Below are 16,184 nucleotides of genomic sequence, written 5' to 3'. Positions count from 1 at the left end.
TTATCTGCTTTATATGATAAAATTCTACATAAGATCTCATTTGGAAAAAGAAAAGAAGGGGAATTCTGATCCTTTTAAAGATAAGAAAAAGAGAGAAAGAAAACCTCTGAACTAGATAAACTTCAAATTCCTTTCTAGCTCCAGTTTAGATAGTTTGACGTTCAATGTATTCACTCTCTGTGGGAATCAGTCTTAAGACACATAAGTGAATGAAAGTGCAGCCATTTACATAGCTACATGCAAAGCCTCAGGGCACAGGGAGCTAACTTTCCATTCCACCATCAAGGAGATGTCATAGAGCATTAGGATGTAGACTCTCCTCTCTTAACCCCACTCCTTCTGATTCTAGGTGTCACCAGCACCAATAGGCTGAGAACTTCTGCAGGAAATGAGTTTTTCTTCTTTCATAGTTAAACTTCAGGTAATTCTGCTTTGTAGGAATTGAGATAATCCTATTCTTATGATTTGGGGGAAGGGAGCCCCTGCTTTGACATTTCTTATTTCCTTTAAACATTATTATGTAAAACTGTTTCCTGGGCCACTGGGAATAAAAATAGTATCATGGTAATAACCACAATACAGCATTTCTCTGGCTCTGCCCCTCTGTTCTCTCAGTTACTCTCAATTCTTTCCAGATAGTTTTGAGAGTTCCCAAAGTATGTCACATGTAATCCAAAAACTGGCTCTCCAGGTGGCCAAGTGGGATCTGCCATTTTTCCTGATGGGTAGTTGTCAGATTGTCTCTGTCCCTGCTGGAGGTAGTTATGCTATCAAGACAGCTGGGGTGGAAAGAGAATCTGCATATCAGATAGGGTGCCCCACTCACATGGAGTTAGAACACACAAGTAAATAATTTGGGCTCTGGCTTTAGGTTGCTTGGAATTAAATCTCAACTTTGCCATTTGCTAGTTATTCAAACTCTCAGAGCCTCAATTTCCACAGGAATAATAATGGCACCTGCTTCACTGGACTGTTTAAATGAGATGATCCATGTAAAGAATCTAGTATTTTGCCTTCATTAAATGTTACTTATTTCTCTGATTGCCACTATTATTCTGAATCACTCCCTCCACCCTTCTCTTATCCACTTATCAGGAGACTTTTTAGCGTTCCGTGTAAATAAACTTCTGGTAGAACTGCCCCACAATTTCTCCTCTAGAATCCTAAAGAAAACACATCTGGAGCTCAGGCTGGGTCTCTACATAGAATTGATGCAAATTCCAATCCTTTAAAATTTGTGCCAAATATTTAAAAATAAACTTTCATTACATTTATTATATAAATTAGCTTTTTTATATTGTTATACAAATAATACATACACTTGATGTAACATTTAGACATTATAAAAACATTTCCAGTGAAAAACACACCTCCCCTTCCCCATAGATCCTTAATTCTTCTACCTTGAGGCAACCACCTTCAGCAGTTTCTTGCATGTTCTCCCAGAAAGTTTTCATGCCCATACACTGATATACATATGTAAACACAACAGGTACAGATCTGCTCCATGATTTTGGCATACTAAAGTTCTCAGCCTCCATATATGAAAGTTGATAGTAAGTGAAATCTGTCATGCTTGAAGCATTCACTTCTTTGGAGCTTAAAGGGTATGGACGATGGGGAAGGCTAGGGTCCTGATGAAAGCTGAAGATGCTCATCACTGTCATTTCTGTTGTTCCCAGAACGTGATACTGCTGGGCATCATTGGTCCTCCAGATGGGCTCGGAGATGGTCCCCATACTCTTCCTCTGCACTGAACCTAAGCTCAGTTACAGAGACTCCCCATGCTTTTCTTAAGAATACATGGTTTTAGGTCCATGGTCCAGTGACATTTAGCAGTCAGTACTCCAGAAAGTTTTCTATAAAAATCCTGAAACACCACAACACTACTTCATATCGGGGGAGCTACCTCTTAAGTCATACCATTTCTTCTCCTTAATGCAGCATCTGAGCTCCTATCCCTTCTGGGAACACCCGGAGGAATTAATTCTCTCAATTCCTAGAAAGGGATGGGTGGGGTTTGCCATCTCCTCACCCAGTAATTTCTGATTTTGGTCATAAAACCAAGAGCTATTGACAATCCTCTGGAGCAAGAGTGTCCTAAACACTCATATTTGAGAAGAAAGGTGTGGTAGGAGAAAGGCAGGTGAACACAAAGAGACACAGTCTTTGTCTTCAAGTAGCCTACAAACGAGTGAAAAAAAGACAAATGGAAGATTTTAAACAGTGTGCTAAGCATTAGCATAAAACCATGCACTGGATACAATGAAACACAGTGGAGAGCCCTAAATCAGTTGTAGAGGACATCCTAGAAGGCTTCAGGGAAGCAGTGATTAACAGATGGAAAAATTTAAAAACATAATTTTAAAAATAAGGCAGTATTGTATAGTGTGATGAGCTCAGGCATTATCGTTTTACAACTTTGGGCTGGGATTTGGGCTCTCCATTGATCATGTGTGACACTGGGTCAGTGATCTATGTATCCAAGTTTAGTTTCATTAACTACAAAAAGGTGAAAAATAATACCAATCTCTTAGGGTTATTGTGAGATATAAATAGGATAAAGTACATACAGCTCTTAGTCTAGTGCTAGAACGTATTTATTATTAAGTAGCTATTTGTTATTATTTTTTATTGTTGTTACTGTTTCACACACCAGTCAGTGTGTGTGGGTCTATACAAGCTTTCTAAACATTTGGTCCTCTCTATATTTTCATAGATTGCAGAAAAGCTGTACCCCTTCATCAGAGAATATTGTGGAGGAGAGGTCACAGACACACTTGGGTATGTGAGGCATCTATGAGAAGGTGCCAGAGAGGAGGCTGTGTGAGACTTGGGGTGAATGCCAGTCAATCAGGATTTTTATCTGGAAAACACCCTGTAATTTGGAAATGCAGCTGGAAGCCAAGGTGGGAAAGGGTGGGACTGCTTTGGGCCTTCAGCATCTCTAACCACTTCAAATCTTTTCCTAGCCTGAGGGCATGGCAGCATCAACAATGAAGCAGGCATCCACCCACCTTCTCTGGACTATCTTCTCCATCTCCAGAAAAACACAAACAAAATGAAAGAAAGGAAAAGATACAATGAACGAAATGTTAGGGAACATTTGCCTTTTAGTATTCCTGGCAGCAAGCAAGCTTTTCTGTTTTGGGGTACAATTATTTGGACATTTATTAATATAATACCATAGGATCATAGGATCAAAGCTTTATGGAGGTCACATGAGACCAGTCTATCTATCCATTTTGTAAATGAGGAAGCTGAGACCAAGGCAAATCCACACACACAAAAATGAGAAAAGAATCAAAGTTGAGAACCAAAATAAATTATCTGAGAGGTTGTTAGAGAGAAGAGGCAAAAGGCTGAGCTAGGATCAATGAGTGGTAATATCAGGAGGGAAATTTCACTCAATAAAAGAAGGTTATTAATCTTCATATTAACTTCAAAGCTGCTCAGGGATAAGGTGGGCTACTGTATTAGTCAAGGTTCTCCAGAGAAACAGAATCAATAGAATATATATATATATGTGTGTGTGTGTGTGTGTGTGTATCTGTATCTATATCTATATACATGTATACATGTATGCATACATGATGAGGCTGATTATATGATTTCTATTATAATATAATATAGGTATAATTGAATTATAATATAGTATGTTACAAGATATTATAATATATATTATAAATATTATAAGATACTTATTATAACATAGTGGCCCACATGACTCTGGAGGCTGGTAAGTCCCATGTTCTCCTGCCTGTAAGCTGGAGACCCAGGAAACCCAAAGGTGTAGTTCATAGGCCTGAGAGCCAGAGAGCCAATGATATAGGCTCTAGTCGGGTCTGAAGTCCTGAGAGGCAGGATCACCAAAGGCAATAGAAGATTGATATCCCAGTTCAGGCAATCAGACAGAGAAAATTCACCTTCTCTTGCCTTTTTGTTCTATTCAGGCCCTCCATGGATTGGGTGATGCCCACGCACATTGTACATTGGGGAACGCCATCTGCTTTGCCAGTGCACTAATCCAAATGCTAATTTCTTCCAGAAACACCACAGATACATCCAGAAATAATGTTTAGCCAGCTACTTGGGCATGCTGTGGCCCAGACAAGTTGACACGTAAAATTGACCATCACAGCTACCTTTGGAGGCTGGACTACCACCTATTAAAGGTACTCCAAGGCCGGGCATGGTGGCTCACACCTGTAATCCCAGTACTTTGGGAGACCAATGTGGGCAGATCACCTGAGGTCGGGAGTTCAAAACCAGCCTGACCAATATGGAGAAACCCTGTCTCTACTAAAAATACAAAATTAGCTGGGTGTGGTGGCGCATGCCTGTAATTCTAGCTACGCAGGAGGCTGAGGCAGGAGAATCGCTTGAACCTGGGAGGTGGAGGTTGCGGTGAGTCGTCGGCCATTGCACTCCAGCCTGGGCAACAAGAGCGAAACTCCGTCTCAAAACAAAAACAAACAAAAAAACAAAAAAAAAGGTACTCCAAACAGTGGAGGATGAAACTGGTGAAGTAAGAGGAGGAATGGTGAATTCAATGATCTAAACTTTGCAACCTGAGCTTCTAAAGTGCAGCAAAGCAGTCAGCCAAAGGAAGTCGGGATTCTTATTACTTGATGATTCACATAAATTTACCTGTATCTGTGGCCAACCACATGTTGGAGATGGGAAGATTGCAAAGAAGAGATTTTGAAGTTCAAACACCAATGTAACCACTTATTATCTGTGTGCTTTTGAGAAAATCACAGAATAAGTCTGTCTTTTCATCCAAAACAGGCAATTGTATTGACTGTGAAAGAAATATATGTGAAAGTGCTTTGCTAACTTGCTCATATGATTAATAATATTTAAAGATAAAAAATAGCAGTGAAATATAGAACCATGCAGATAAGACCTCTGTGTACTGAATCTATTTTTAAAAATAATGATTTACCATCACAGCCAATTGAGAATCTCAAATGATCCATGTGTTTTTTGTGTGTGCAAACCAGAGATAATCGCTAGGCTTCCCAGGTGAGAAATTCTACCCCGCTGGGAGGAAGCTGGGTGCATAGGTTACTTTAAAAGAGAGACGGTTACTCTTGTAATAAGCCCTAGGATGTCCAAGGGTTGTTGTGGCAGAAACTCCTTTAAAGTCTTTATAGTTAAATTGGAATTTGGATTGTCTAGTCCAACATCCTGGGGCAAGATTCCTAGCTTCATCACTAACTAGTTATGTAACCTTGGCCAAGTTACTTCAACTCTTTGAAAGTAGGTATCCTCATCTGTAAAACATAAAGGTTTTAGAATAGTACTTAGAAAATATTAATGATTTAATAAATATAAGTGGTTATTATTGATAATGCTGTGTATCTTTTTATTAGAATTGCTACCCAGAAAAAAGACAGGACTATTCCAAGACCACGCAGTGAGGTGTGCACTAGGAATAGAATTCAGAGTTTTGCTCTTGCATGTTAGTACTCGTTCACCACAGCCCCTTTGCTTTCTATTTAGTAACCTGTGCTCATAGATTCAGCTGACAGAGGTCATTAAACTACTGACCAAATTCCTCAGTCCCAGGTCAACTTCCACCAGCTTCCAGTTGTATATCCACAATCCCAAATCCTAGTCAAACTTGTCAGCTCATCCTAAGTCCTGTCACTTCCATGAAACCTTCCAGTACATTACTTAGAGAAATATTGACAACCCCCTACTTAGAAACAGTAGTCTTAAAATAACTCCAAGACCTTTCGCAAGGCTTGTCACTTCCCCTCTTGGCATTTTTATTTTCCCATCTGTAGAATGAGATGGCTTTAAAAGAGTCGATAAACAATTGATTGTTGACTGGGGCTGGGCCATGTTGTAGATGACAGAACAACAACAAAAACGAACAGATCAGCTTCCAACTCTCAAATATTTTATTGTTTACTGCAAGAGACAAGAGGAGAAATGGTGAAATATGAAGTATTAAGTACAGTTACAAAAGTATCTGCTCACCAAGCAGTAGATTCTTGATAGAAATTTGAAATAATAAGTAAAAAAAAAAAAAAAGATGTACCATGTGTATGGGGGTTAGAAAAATTGGTATTAAAATTGTGTCTTCTTAAGAAGAGAAGGAGGAAAGAAGAGTAAACAGCATGTGCAAAGGCTCAGAGATACCAAGGAATAGACAAAGTGATTAATGGTGACAAAAATTCTATGTGCTGAAGAAAATTTAAGAAGACCAGTGTAGGTAGAGAAAGAAGTAGAGGAAGATGAATTTGAAACTGGCCTCTGTCTCTCCCATTAGACTAATGGCAGTATGAGCACAAGGATGTCTGTCAACATTTTCTCCTTTTTCTCCAGCAAATAAAGGCGCATAAAAATATTTGCTGAAAGAGGGAAAGGAAAGATCCATGTGTCATGAGCATCATATGTCATGCTAGGGAATTTGAACTTTCTCCTATACCAAATAGGGGTCCTGAAAGATTGTTAAGCACAGATAACATATGAGATTGGGTCTTTAGAAAAGATGGTATTGGATCTGGTTGGAGGACAAATAAGAAAATGTTGAGACTGGAAATAGGGATATCTGTTAGGAAGCTGTTTCACTCGCTTTGGTGAGTAAGAGCAAGGCTCTGCAATGAGTGGCAGTAGATAAATGCAGGAGGGCTTGGGGGAAGAATTTCTATGACTTGGGGGACAGTTCACTTTGGGGAGTAACAAAGCAAGAAGCAGCAGGAATTACTGAAATTTCTGTCATTGAAAGTTGGCAAATGGTATTCTGTTTTGGCCTGTTGAGTTAAAGATGTCTATGGATCATCTTAGAGAATGTGGCCCTGTATCTAGGTCCCTTCTGGGTCTCTCATTCCAACCTGTTCTATGTAATTCCATCTTTGCCTTGCCACCCTTTCACCCCTTGCCTAGACTCCTACAGCAGTCTTCCATCGTTCCACCCACATCCACTTCATTCTTCACACAGTGGCCAGAAACTTTTTTTTCTGAAACAAAAATATCATCATTTTACCTCTTTCCTTAAAGCACATCTGTGGCTCCTCATTACTCCTGAGATGAAAACTAAACTATTTAACATGGCCTACAATCTCCAAAAGGTCTGACCTCCTGACCTCCACCCACTCCAGTCTTCTTTACTATGCTCCCCTCACCCACTCCATGCCAACCATGCTGGCCTTTACTGCCTCCTTTCTGTCTGTTCTCAGCTACTGCAAGGTTTCTGCATGTGCTTTTCTCTACACCAAGAAAACCCTTTTCTCCTTCTTTGACCACATTGATTCCTACTCCTCTTTAGAGCTAAGTCAGATACCCCTTTCCCAGAGAAGACTTCCCTGATCATCCTAATGAAAATACAAATAATATAATAGCTAACATTTATTGAGTGCTAACTGTGTCCCAGGTACATTAAAGGATTGTACATGTATGTATTCATTTTATCATCAAAGTAACTCAATGAAGAATTGACTAACTCTATCAGTGAATCAAAATATAAACTCTTATCAACACCATGTACCTCTCTTTCTGAGCACTTTCGCATAATTGCTATTTTTATCTTTATCTGAGTAGCGATTTGATTTATGCTTGTCTCATCCACTAGAATGAAGTTTCAACTAGTTTTGAATAATTGAGAAGTAATTTCCATCAGCCCAACCCTCCTGCAGATAACATTTCCAAACTCTGGACAAAATATACATGGTATGAACCTGAAAACACTGGAAAGCGAACAAAAGCCAGCAGAAACTGAGCAGCAGTTCATACCAGGAGAGCGAAGGGCACTGGATGAGCTACCTACTTTTTAAGGCTTTTTCCTGAGGGCAGACCCCAACAGGCAGAGACTGGATGCTAAAACTCAGAAAAACTTTTTAATCTTGATGGTTTCAGAACTAGAGGACACAGACTGGTGTTACCACAGGAGTAAGAAGGGAAAGAGGAAATGTGGAAATGAGAGAGCCACAGAGAATGCTACGTTCTGCATAAAAACATTGTCTTAATCTCTGGTTGAGCCTGAAATATGCCTATGCAAGACTGAACCTAAGTTAACAGATTGGAAATTGAAACTGCTGCCTACTACTAGAAGAACAGAATTTAGAGTCTGAGTTTAAACAAGTTTACTGCCTATTAAAATTAAAAATCAATACTAACAGAGGTTCATAACAGAATCCAGATTCACTAATATGTCATTCATAATATTCTAGATTCAATACAAATTTCTAGACATATGAAGAAACAGGAAACTGTTACCTACACTTGAAAGAAAAGCAGACTGACTCTGAGATGACTCAAATGTTAGAATTAGTAGACAAAAATTTCAAGCTACTATTATAACCATGCTCAGGGATATAAGGAAAAATAATGGTCTCTGCCAGGCACAGTGGCTCAGACCTGTAATCCCAGCACTTTGGGAGGCCGAGGCAGGCGGATCACTTGAGGTCAGGAATTCGAGATCAGCCTGGGCAACATAATGAAACCCCATCTCTACCAAAAATTACAAAATTAGCCTGGTGTGGTGGCACATGAGTGTAATCTCAGCTACTCGGGAGGCTGAGGCAGGAGAATCCCTTGAACCTGGGAGGTGGAGGTGGTTGCAGTGAGCCAGAGATCATGCCAGTGCACTTAAGCCTGGGTGACAGAGTGAGATGCTGCCACCAAAAAAAAAAAAAAAAAGAAAGAAAGGAAATTATCTTAATAAACAATCTCACAAAAGAAAAATGAATTATGAAAAACTGGAAATTCTAGAGGAGAAAATTACAATATTGTAAATAAAATATTGTTGGATGAACTTAACAGCAGTTGGGAGATGACAGAAGGAGCAGCCAGTGAAAACTTGAAGACAGAGCAAAAGAAATAATACACCCTGAAGAAAAGAGAGCAGAAAAGACTAAACATAATTAAATACAACCTTTGTGACTTGTGGGACCACATAAAAAAGATAAGCAAATATGGCTAGGCATGGTGGCTCATGCCTGTAATCCCAGCACTTTGAGAGACCAAGGTAGGAAGGTTGCTTGAGGCTAGGAAGTCAAGACCAAGACCAGCCTGACCAACATAGCGAGACTCCTTTGCTACAATTTTTTTTTTTTTTGTTAGCCAGATGTGTTGGTATGCACCTGCAGTCCCAACTTGGGAGGCTGAGACGGGAGGATTGCTTGAATCTGGGAGGTCAAGGCTGCAATGAGCCATGATTGTGCCAAACTGGAATCCCAGGAAAAAGGGACTGATAGCTTGGAAGGGAAAAAAATCTTTGAAGAAATAAATTTACAGATTCAAAAATCTTGCATTTAGCCTGAGAAAAATGGCAGATTTCATGGCAGAACATTATAAATTTTCTCTGACATCTCATTAGAACTAATAGGTGCCAGAAGAGAATGGAACTATATCTTGAAAGTGCTAAAAGTAAAATGAGAAAGGAGAGGGAAGAGGGGAAGGGGAGGGAAGGGGAGAGAAAGAAAGAGAGAAAGAGAGAAAGAGGGAGAAAGAGAGAAAGAAAGAGAAAGAAAGAAAGGAAGAAAGAAAGAGAAAAAGAAAGGAAAAAGAGAGAGAAAGGAAGGAAGGAAGGGAGAGAGAAAGGAAGGAAGGAAGGGAGAGAGAAAGAAAGGAAGAAAGAGAAAAAAAGGGGAAAGAAAGAAAAAAAGAAAAATTAAACTTTTAAATTTAAAATTCTGTATCCCGTAAAATCATCCTTTAAGAATTAAGATGAAACAGAGATATTTTCGGATAAAATAAAACTAGAGAATTCATCACCAGCAGACAATACCATAAGAAATTCAAAAGTTCTCCAGGCTGAAGATAAATCACACCAGATTGAAACATGTTTCTTCTGTAAGAAATGAAGAATATCAGAAATGATAAATGTGTAGGTAAATATTTTTTAAAACAATTTTTTTCTTAATTTTCTTAAAAGACATATGGCTATGTAAAGCAAATGTTGTAAGATTGAATTGTGGGGCTTATAACATTTCTATACATAAAAAATAACAACTATAGCATAAAGACCAGTGTTGGGAGGTAAATGAACTTATATGATTGCAAGTTTTGTTCATTTAACATTAAGTGGCACACCAATAACTTTAAGGAGATTGAAACATTAAAAATGTATGTTGAAATTCCCTATAGCTACCACTTGAATAACAACAACAAGGAGAGCAACAATAATAACACAAAAGGGACAGCTGAAAAGGTAATAGAAAAATTAAAATGAAACTCTAAAAAATATTAAACTAACTCAAAAGCAGGAAAGGAAAAACAGAAGGACAAAAAATTAATGGAACAAACAGAAAATTAATTGTAACATGGTAATCCTAAATCTCCATCAGAATGTAGGCTGCATATAGGCAGATATCATATTCATTTTTGTTCATGGTTTATCTGAAATGTCAAATGAATGAATAAATGAATGAATGAGTGATTAAAAGAACGCTTATTGCACACTAACTCCTGAAGGTCTTGGGTGTCTTCTTGACTTCTTCTGGTAAATATGACTATATTTTACATTGCTGTTATTCTACTTGCTAGAAAGTTTTCAACATTCTTTTGTGTAATTTTTTCTGTAACTAACTCCCTGAAATGTGTGGAAAGACCTAGGTCAAAAGTTGAATTGAATAATTCTTCATGTTGAAATTGTACAAATCCACTTGTCAAGAAAATAAGCTCTGCTTCTTCACATATCAGCCAATGCACCAAGGCAAAACCTGAGAGTTGCCTCAGGAGGTCTCACAGGATTTGGTGACTTACTTTGGCTTTTGCTGTGAGATATGGCTGTTGAAAAACTAATAAGAAATACTTTTGATCATATAATCAATTTTGAATCTCAGGGGATTTCAACTGTAAGAAAAAGTACAAAAAAATCTCCAACCACATTGAAAAGTTTGAAGGTATAAGAATGAGAGTAGGAGATCCTTTTGAAAATCAAAATTCTCTATTTTTTGAGATAATATTTAAATATTAATGTTTGTGGACCAATATAGTAACCCAAGAGACTCTTCTTTTGAAGACAAATTCTAATTGATAAGTTCCCACTGAAGATACAGTTTTTCCGTAAAAAGTGGGAGGTGGACTGAAGGACTAATTCATTTAGCAGCTATTTATTGAATATTGACTGTCACAACTTAAGATTTATTTTTTCTCAGGTGAAAAATGATGCCTAATTGAGGATCTTGTAAGGAAACTCACTGTAATAGAAGCCAGGTATACTAGAAAGTGGAATAGATTGGGAGACTGTCATTCATGAGTAATTTATGCGATGGCTGATTTCTAAAAGAAATCTTGGAATTCAACAAGAAACCTAAAATCAGAAAGTCTCATTTTAACTCCTAGCTCTGCTACTTACCATCAGGTTTCCTGAAACAAACCACAAGGCCTCTCTGAGACCTGTTTCCCTCATCTGTAAGATAGAGAAATAGCAGCACTTTCCTAAGATGAAATGAGAAAATAGATGTGAAACATTGTAGTGTTGGATAAGTAAGAGAGTAATCAGAACCAAGAAGAAATATGTAAAGAAAAAAACATATATTTGAAAATTTGTTTGCCTTTCTACTTTTATGGCACTTGAAGCAATGTTGACTTGCTTGTACATTTTACTTTGATGTTTTCTACCTGCCTTTATTAATGACAGGACCATATTAAATAGTAAACCACTAAATAATACACCCAAATATATTAGTAATTAAATATACAATAAAATAGTATTTACAATCAATGGAAAAGGAAGAATTATACCATGAACAGTTTGAGGAGACATAAAATTCAATTCTTTTCTTATTCACATAAATTCCATCATGATAAAAATTTTAAATATACAAATGAACTAATAAAAGTACTAAAAGAAAATGTGGATATACTGTGTTTATTTTAAGTCTTGCTTGGAGTGAGAAAATTCTTTCAAAACAAGGCACAAAACTGCAGCTATAAAAAGAGTGATACATTTACAGATACAAAAATTAAGAACTAGCCAGGTGGATGGCTCATATCTGTAATCCCAGCACTTTGGGAGGCTGAGGCAGGCAAATCACTTGAGCCCAAGAGTTCGAGACAAGCCTGGGCAACATGGCAAAATCCAACTCTACTAAAAATGCAAAAAATTATCTGCATGTGGTGACATGCACCTGTAGTCACAGCTACCCAGGAGGCTGAGGTGGGAGGTTCATCTGAGCCTGGGAGGTCACACCACTGCACTCCAGCCTGGGCGACCAGAGTGAGACCCTGTCTCAAAAATAAAAACAAAAACTGCTATGTAGAAAATTATACCATACACATAGTAAATAAATAAATAAACAAATAAAGCAAGAGCATATTGCAACACATAAAAATGAACAGAGGGAACTTGTTTTCAATATTAAAGAGCTATGACAAATTTGGAAGAAAAACAATGAAATTACATAAATAATATGAACAGGCAATTCACAGAAAAATAAATAAAATGGCTTCCAAATTTGTAAAAATAATCAGGTTCATGAATAATTTTAAAAATGTAAATGAGAACATTGAAATATCTTTTTTTCATCCATAAGATGGATGAAGATTTAAAAAACGACAATATAGCATAGCCAAGGGTGCAGAGATTCACTTTCATACACCGTGGGTGTGAGTACAATTTGGTAAAAGGTCTTTGAGCAAGAATTGGGCAAAATCTGCTCAACTTCTAAATGCCCAACTTTTTGGAGAGCAAAGATATACCTACATGACCATTTATCATAATTACTTTTGTGTAGCAGCAAGAAACTAAAAATAATAGTTTTCCATTCATAGACAACTATTAAAATATAAAACATTTATTTAGTAGTAAAGTAAAAAGCCATAAAGGAAGAATGAAGTAGAGTTTTATTGTAGCTCTAAAATATATTGTTAAGTGACTAGAAAAAAATCCTAAATATTATATATGGTATGTGCCTTTTATGTAAAAAAAATGTGGCATGTTTGTTCTAGTAGACTCAAAAAATTGAAAAGATAACTGCTCAATAAATATTCTTCAAGTGGATTAACTCACCTGCTTCATTGAATGACATGATAGGCCCTGTTTATCTATGATGAAGCTATACTTTTCAAGGCTTAAAGCTCCCCTTAGAATCCCTCTTTGCCTGCTTCTAATGTGCTCAGAAGAAAGCACATACATATACCTGTACATATATACATACACATAGACACACATGTTTTCTTTTAAATAATAAGTAAGCATTAGGAAACATATCCTTTAATAAACGTTCACAAGCAACAATTAATAATCCAAAGAAGCTGCTAACGTTTGTTAATTGCAAATGACATGAGGTTAAACCCAAACTAGCTTATGCAAAATATGGCATTTATTAGGTTTGGCTTTAAGCACAGCCATATTGAGGGGCTCAGATGATGTCCTAGAGACATTTCTTTTCTCCTCTTCTTTCAGGTCTCTTTTTCCCCCCTGAGGGTTGATTTCATTCTTTACAAATGTAGTGGATATCTTTCATCTCTTGGACAATGAGGTAGCAGGCAAATTTAGGCTTGCATTTTTTCTGTTCCTTGAACCTAGAGGGTGAAGTAAAAACTCTCATTCTGCTCCCAAGCAGAAAATCTCAAAGAAGAGCTCTGATTGGCCCAGAAGAGGTTACATGCACTCCTGTGAAACCAACACTGTGGTCAAGAACACTATGTGTGGTTAGGGCCAGGCTTACCCACTGATCTTTGTGCTAGCATTGAAGAAGTTGGGAGGACTACTGTGACTTGTAGGTCAGCCAGAATCAGGTGATTCACATAACATAATTACTTTCTTACAGTGGCTCCATTTGAGAGGGAATCACTGCACATCTTTTAGCACTGCTGATGAGGGTGCTGCCCACTTCTTATAGATGCATGATAAATGCTGACCCACAATTCTTTCTTTTTTTGAAGACCAAGAATTAAAGAAACAGGAATTACTATGAGTTGAGAGATAAAATAGGATACATTGTTTTTCTCTCTCTCTCAACAGTATTTTTCTTATATTAGCTGAAAATTAAAGACATTGAGGTTTTGATTGGTCAGCGTATACAGCTGAGTTTTTCAACAGGAGTGCTTATTTGACTATGAATTTATTAGGACAGGGATTATGTCCAATAGGCTTGCTGTTATATCAGCAACACCTAGTACATAGCCTGAAATATGGTGATGGCTCAATAAATATTTGTTGAGAGAAGGAAAGAAGGAAGGAAGGAAGGGAGGGAGGAAGGGAGGGAGGGAAGGAAGGAAAGGAGGGAGGGAGGGAGGGAGGCAGGGAGTTTGTTTAGCCTCATACTTTTAGATCCTTAAGGCACCAGATATAAGTATGCCAAAGAAAAGCTTTGACTCTAAGATGAAAATTCAGTTGAGACTCTTATCAAATCATGTAATACAAAGAAAATCATGTTTTGTTTTTGTTTTTTTTTCTTAGCAGAGATGGCAGTTAAGACCAGAGATAAACAAAAAGTATAATTCACATATTTACTCCATTAAATATTTTGTGGCTTAAGACAGTTTTCTTTTTATAATGGTTATGACATTTTTGAAAATACACACACGTACCCACTCAATAAAATGTGTTATCTTATTTTTGCTTACCTGTACCTTCAGGAACTGTCTTCATCTCTCTGGACAATAAAGCTGAATGCAAGGCATCCTGCCTACCTTACTCAGAGTTAAAATGCACAGGAGGAAATCCTGAGACTTTTTAGAACAGAACTTGCAGTTGAAACATTAGATAATATTAGCAGACAACATACACATTGAAGAAAATCAAATATAGAAATATGGAGAACTCCTACTAAGTATTATGAAAAGAAAAATAGAATATAGGTTGCTATGGGCTGAAATTATTATGGAGTGGCTTTTTGTAGATTATTTGGTAATGTAAGTAGAACTTGAAGTAGTTGAGAATAATTTAAAGAGATGAATGACAATAGAGAGGCAATGTCAAGAGCAAGGGCAAAGATGAAAGAACAGGAAGGCACAGGGTTTTCTCTGGGTCTCAATAAGAGAATCCAAATGACTGGGGTACAAACCATAGGTGAGGAAAGCAGAGCAGGTGTGATAGCCCAGTGGCAGGACCTGGAATGTCAGAAAGAGAGGTTTGAACTTATATTTGATAGTCATATTAAAGCTATCAGAAGTTCTTGAGTCTAGGACTGACATGAAGAAAGTATGTAAGTAAGATTAGTTCTTACCTCGAATGATTAAGAGGTAGAGAGACCCCAAACAGGAAGCCCCATTGGAAAGGTATTACAGAGTGATGTTAGCAAGATGATGGAATAGAAGGTTCCAGCCCTTATTCATTTACAGAAACGTGGACTTAACATCCACCCATAGTCAAGAATACCTTCCTGAGATCTCTAGATTTCAGGTAAGACATTACAGCACTCAAGTGAAGAACAGAAAAAGAAAGGACACGTTTCAGAGAGTAAGAATAGTTACACTTTACCCACGCCACTTCTCTTGCAAGCCAACACAGCACAGCACTGAGGAAGATTCCATCAGCCTGTGGGTTATTTCATAAGGGAAAGGGAGAGTGATGTAAGTATCTGACTTTGCCATGTATCCTGGCAGCAGGCTTGCCTTAGACCAAGACATTAGGCCCACCTGCCCATGGACTCAGGCATCACACCTATCAATCTGTAGACTCTAGCAGTAGGCCCATCCATGGACTCTGCCACTAGGTCTGCCCACCCACGGACCCTGCCAGTTGGTCTGCTTAGAGTCTCCGACCATGGTGGTGAAAGGCTTTCGTTGCTGAAGCAACGAATCTGTAAAGACTGGAAGAGATGACCACTTCTTCAAATGCATAGACACCAATGCAGGGCTACAGGGATCATAAAGAATCAGGAAACTATGACGCTGCCAAAGGAAAAAAAAAAAAACTTCAGTAAATGAACCTAAAGAAATGGATATCTATGAATTACCTGACAAATAATTTAAAATAATTATCTTAAAGAAGTTCGGTGAGCTACAGGAGAACATGATAGACAACTAAATAAAATCACAAAGCAATACATGAACAAAATAAGAAGTTCAACAAAGGGATAGAAACAATAAAAAAGCATCAAACAGAAATTTTGTAAATGAAGGACACAGTGACACACTAAAAAAATTCAATAGACAGCTTCAACATCAGACTCAATCAAGGAGAAGAATCAGTGAGCTCAAAGACAGTTTACTTGAAATAACACAGTTAGAAGAATAAAATAAACAAACAAAGAAAATGAGTGAAAAAAGCCTAT

The 16,184-nt window shown here is 37.6% G+C and overlaps 1 annotated feature.

The window, feature by feature from the left end:
• Positions 13,704 to 13,783: an enhancer, noted in NCBI's record as "active region_23364". NCBI's record gives its function as "activates an Ori minimal core promoter by ATAC-STARR-seq in GM12878 lymphoblastoid cells {active_cell/tissue: GM12878}" and the evidence as "EXISTENCE:reporter gene assay evidence [ECO:0000049][PMID:35858748]".

The sequence above is a fragment of the Homo sapiens genome, chromosome 5 (genome assembly GCF_000001405.40).
Source record: "Homo sapiens chromosome 5, GRCh38.p14 Primary Assembly".
Taxonomy (NCBI): Eukaryota; Metazoa; Chordata; class Mammalia; order Primates; family Hominidae; genus Homo; species Homo sapiens.
The sequence above is the reverse complement of the archived record's forward strand: the minus strand, read 5'-3'. Positions and strand labels throughout refer to the sequence as shown.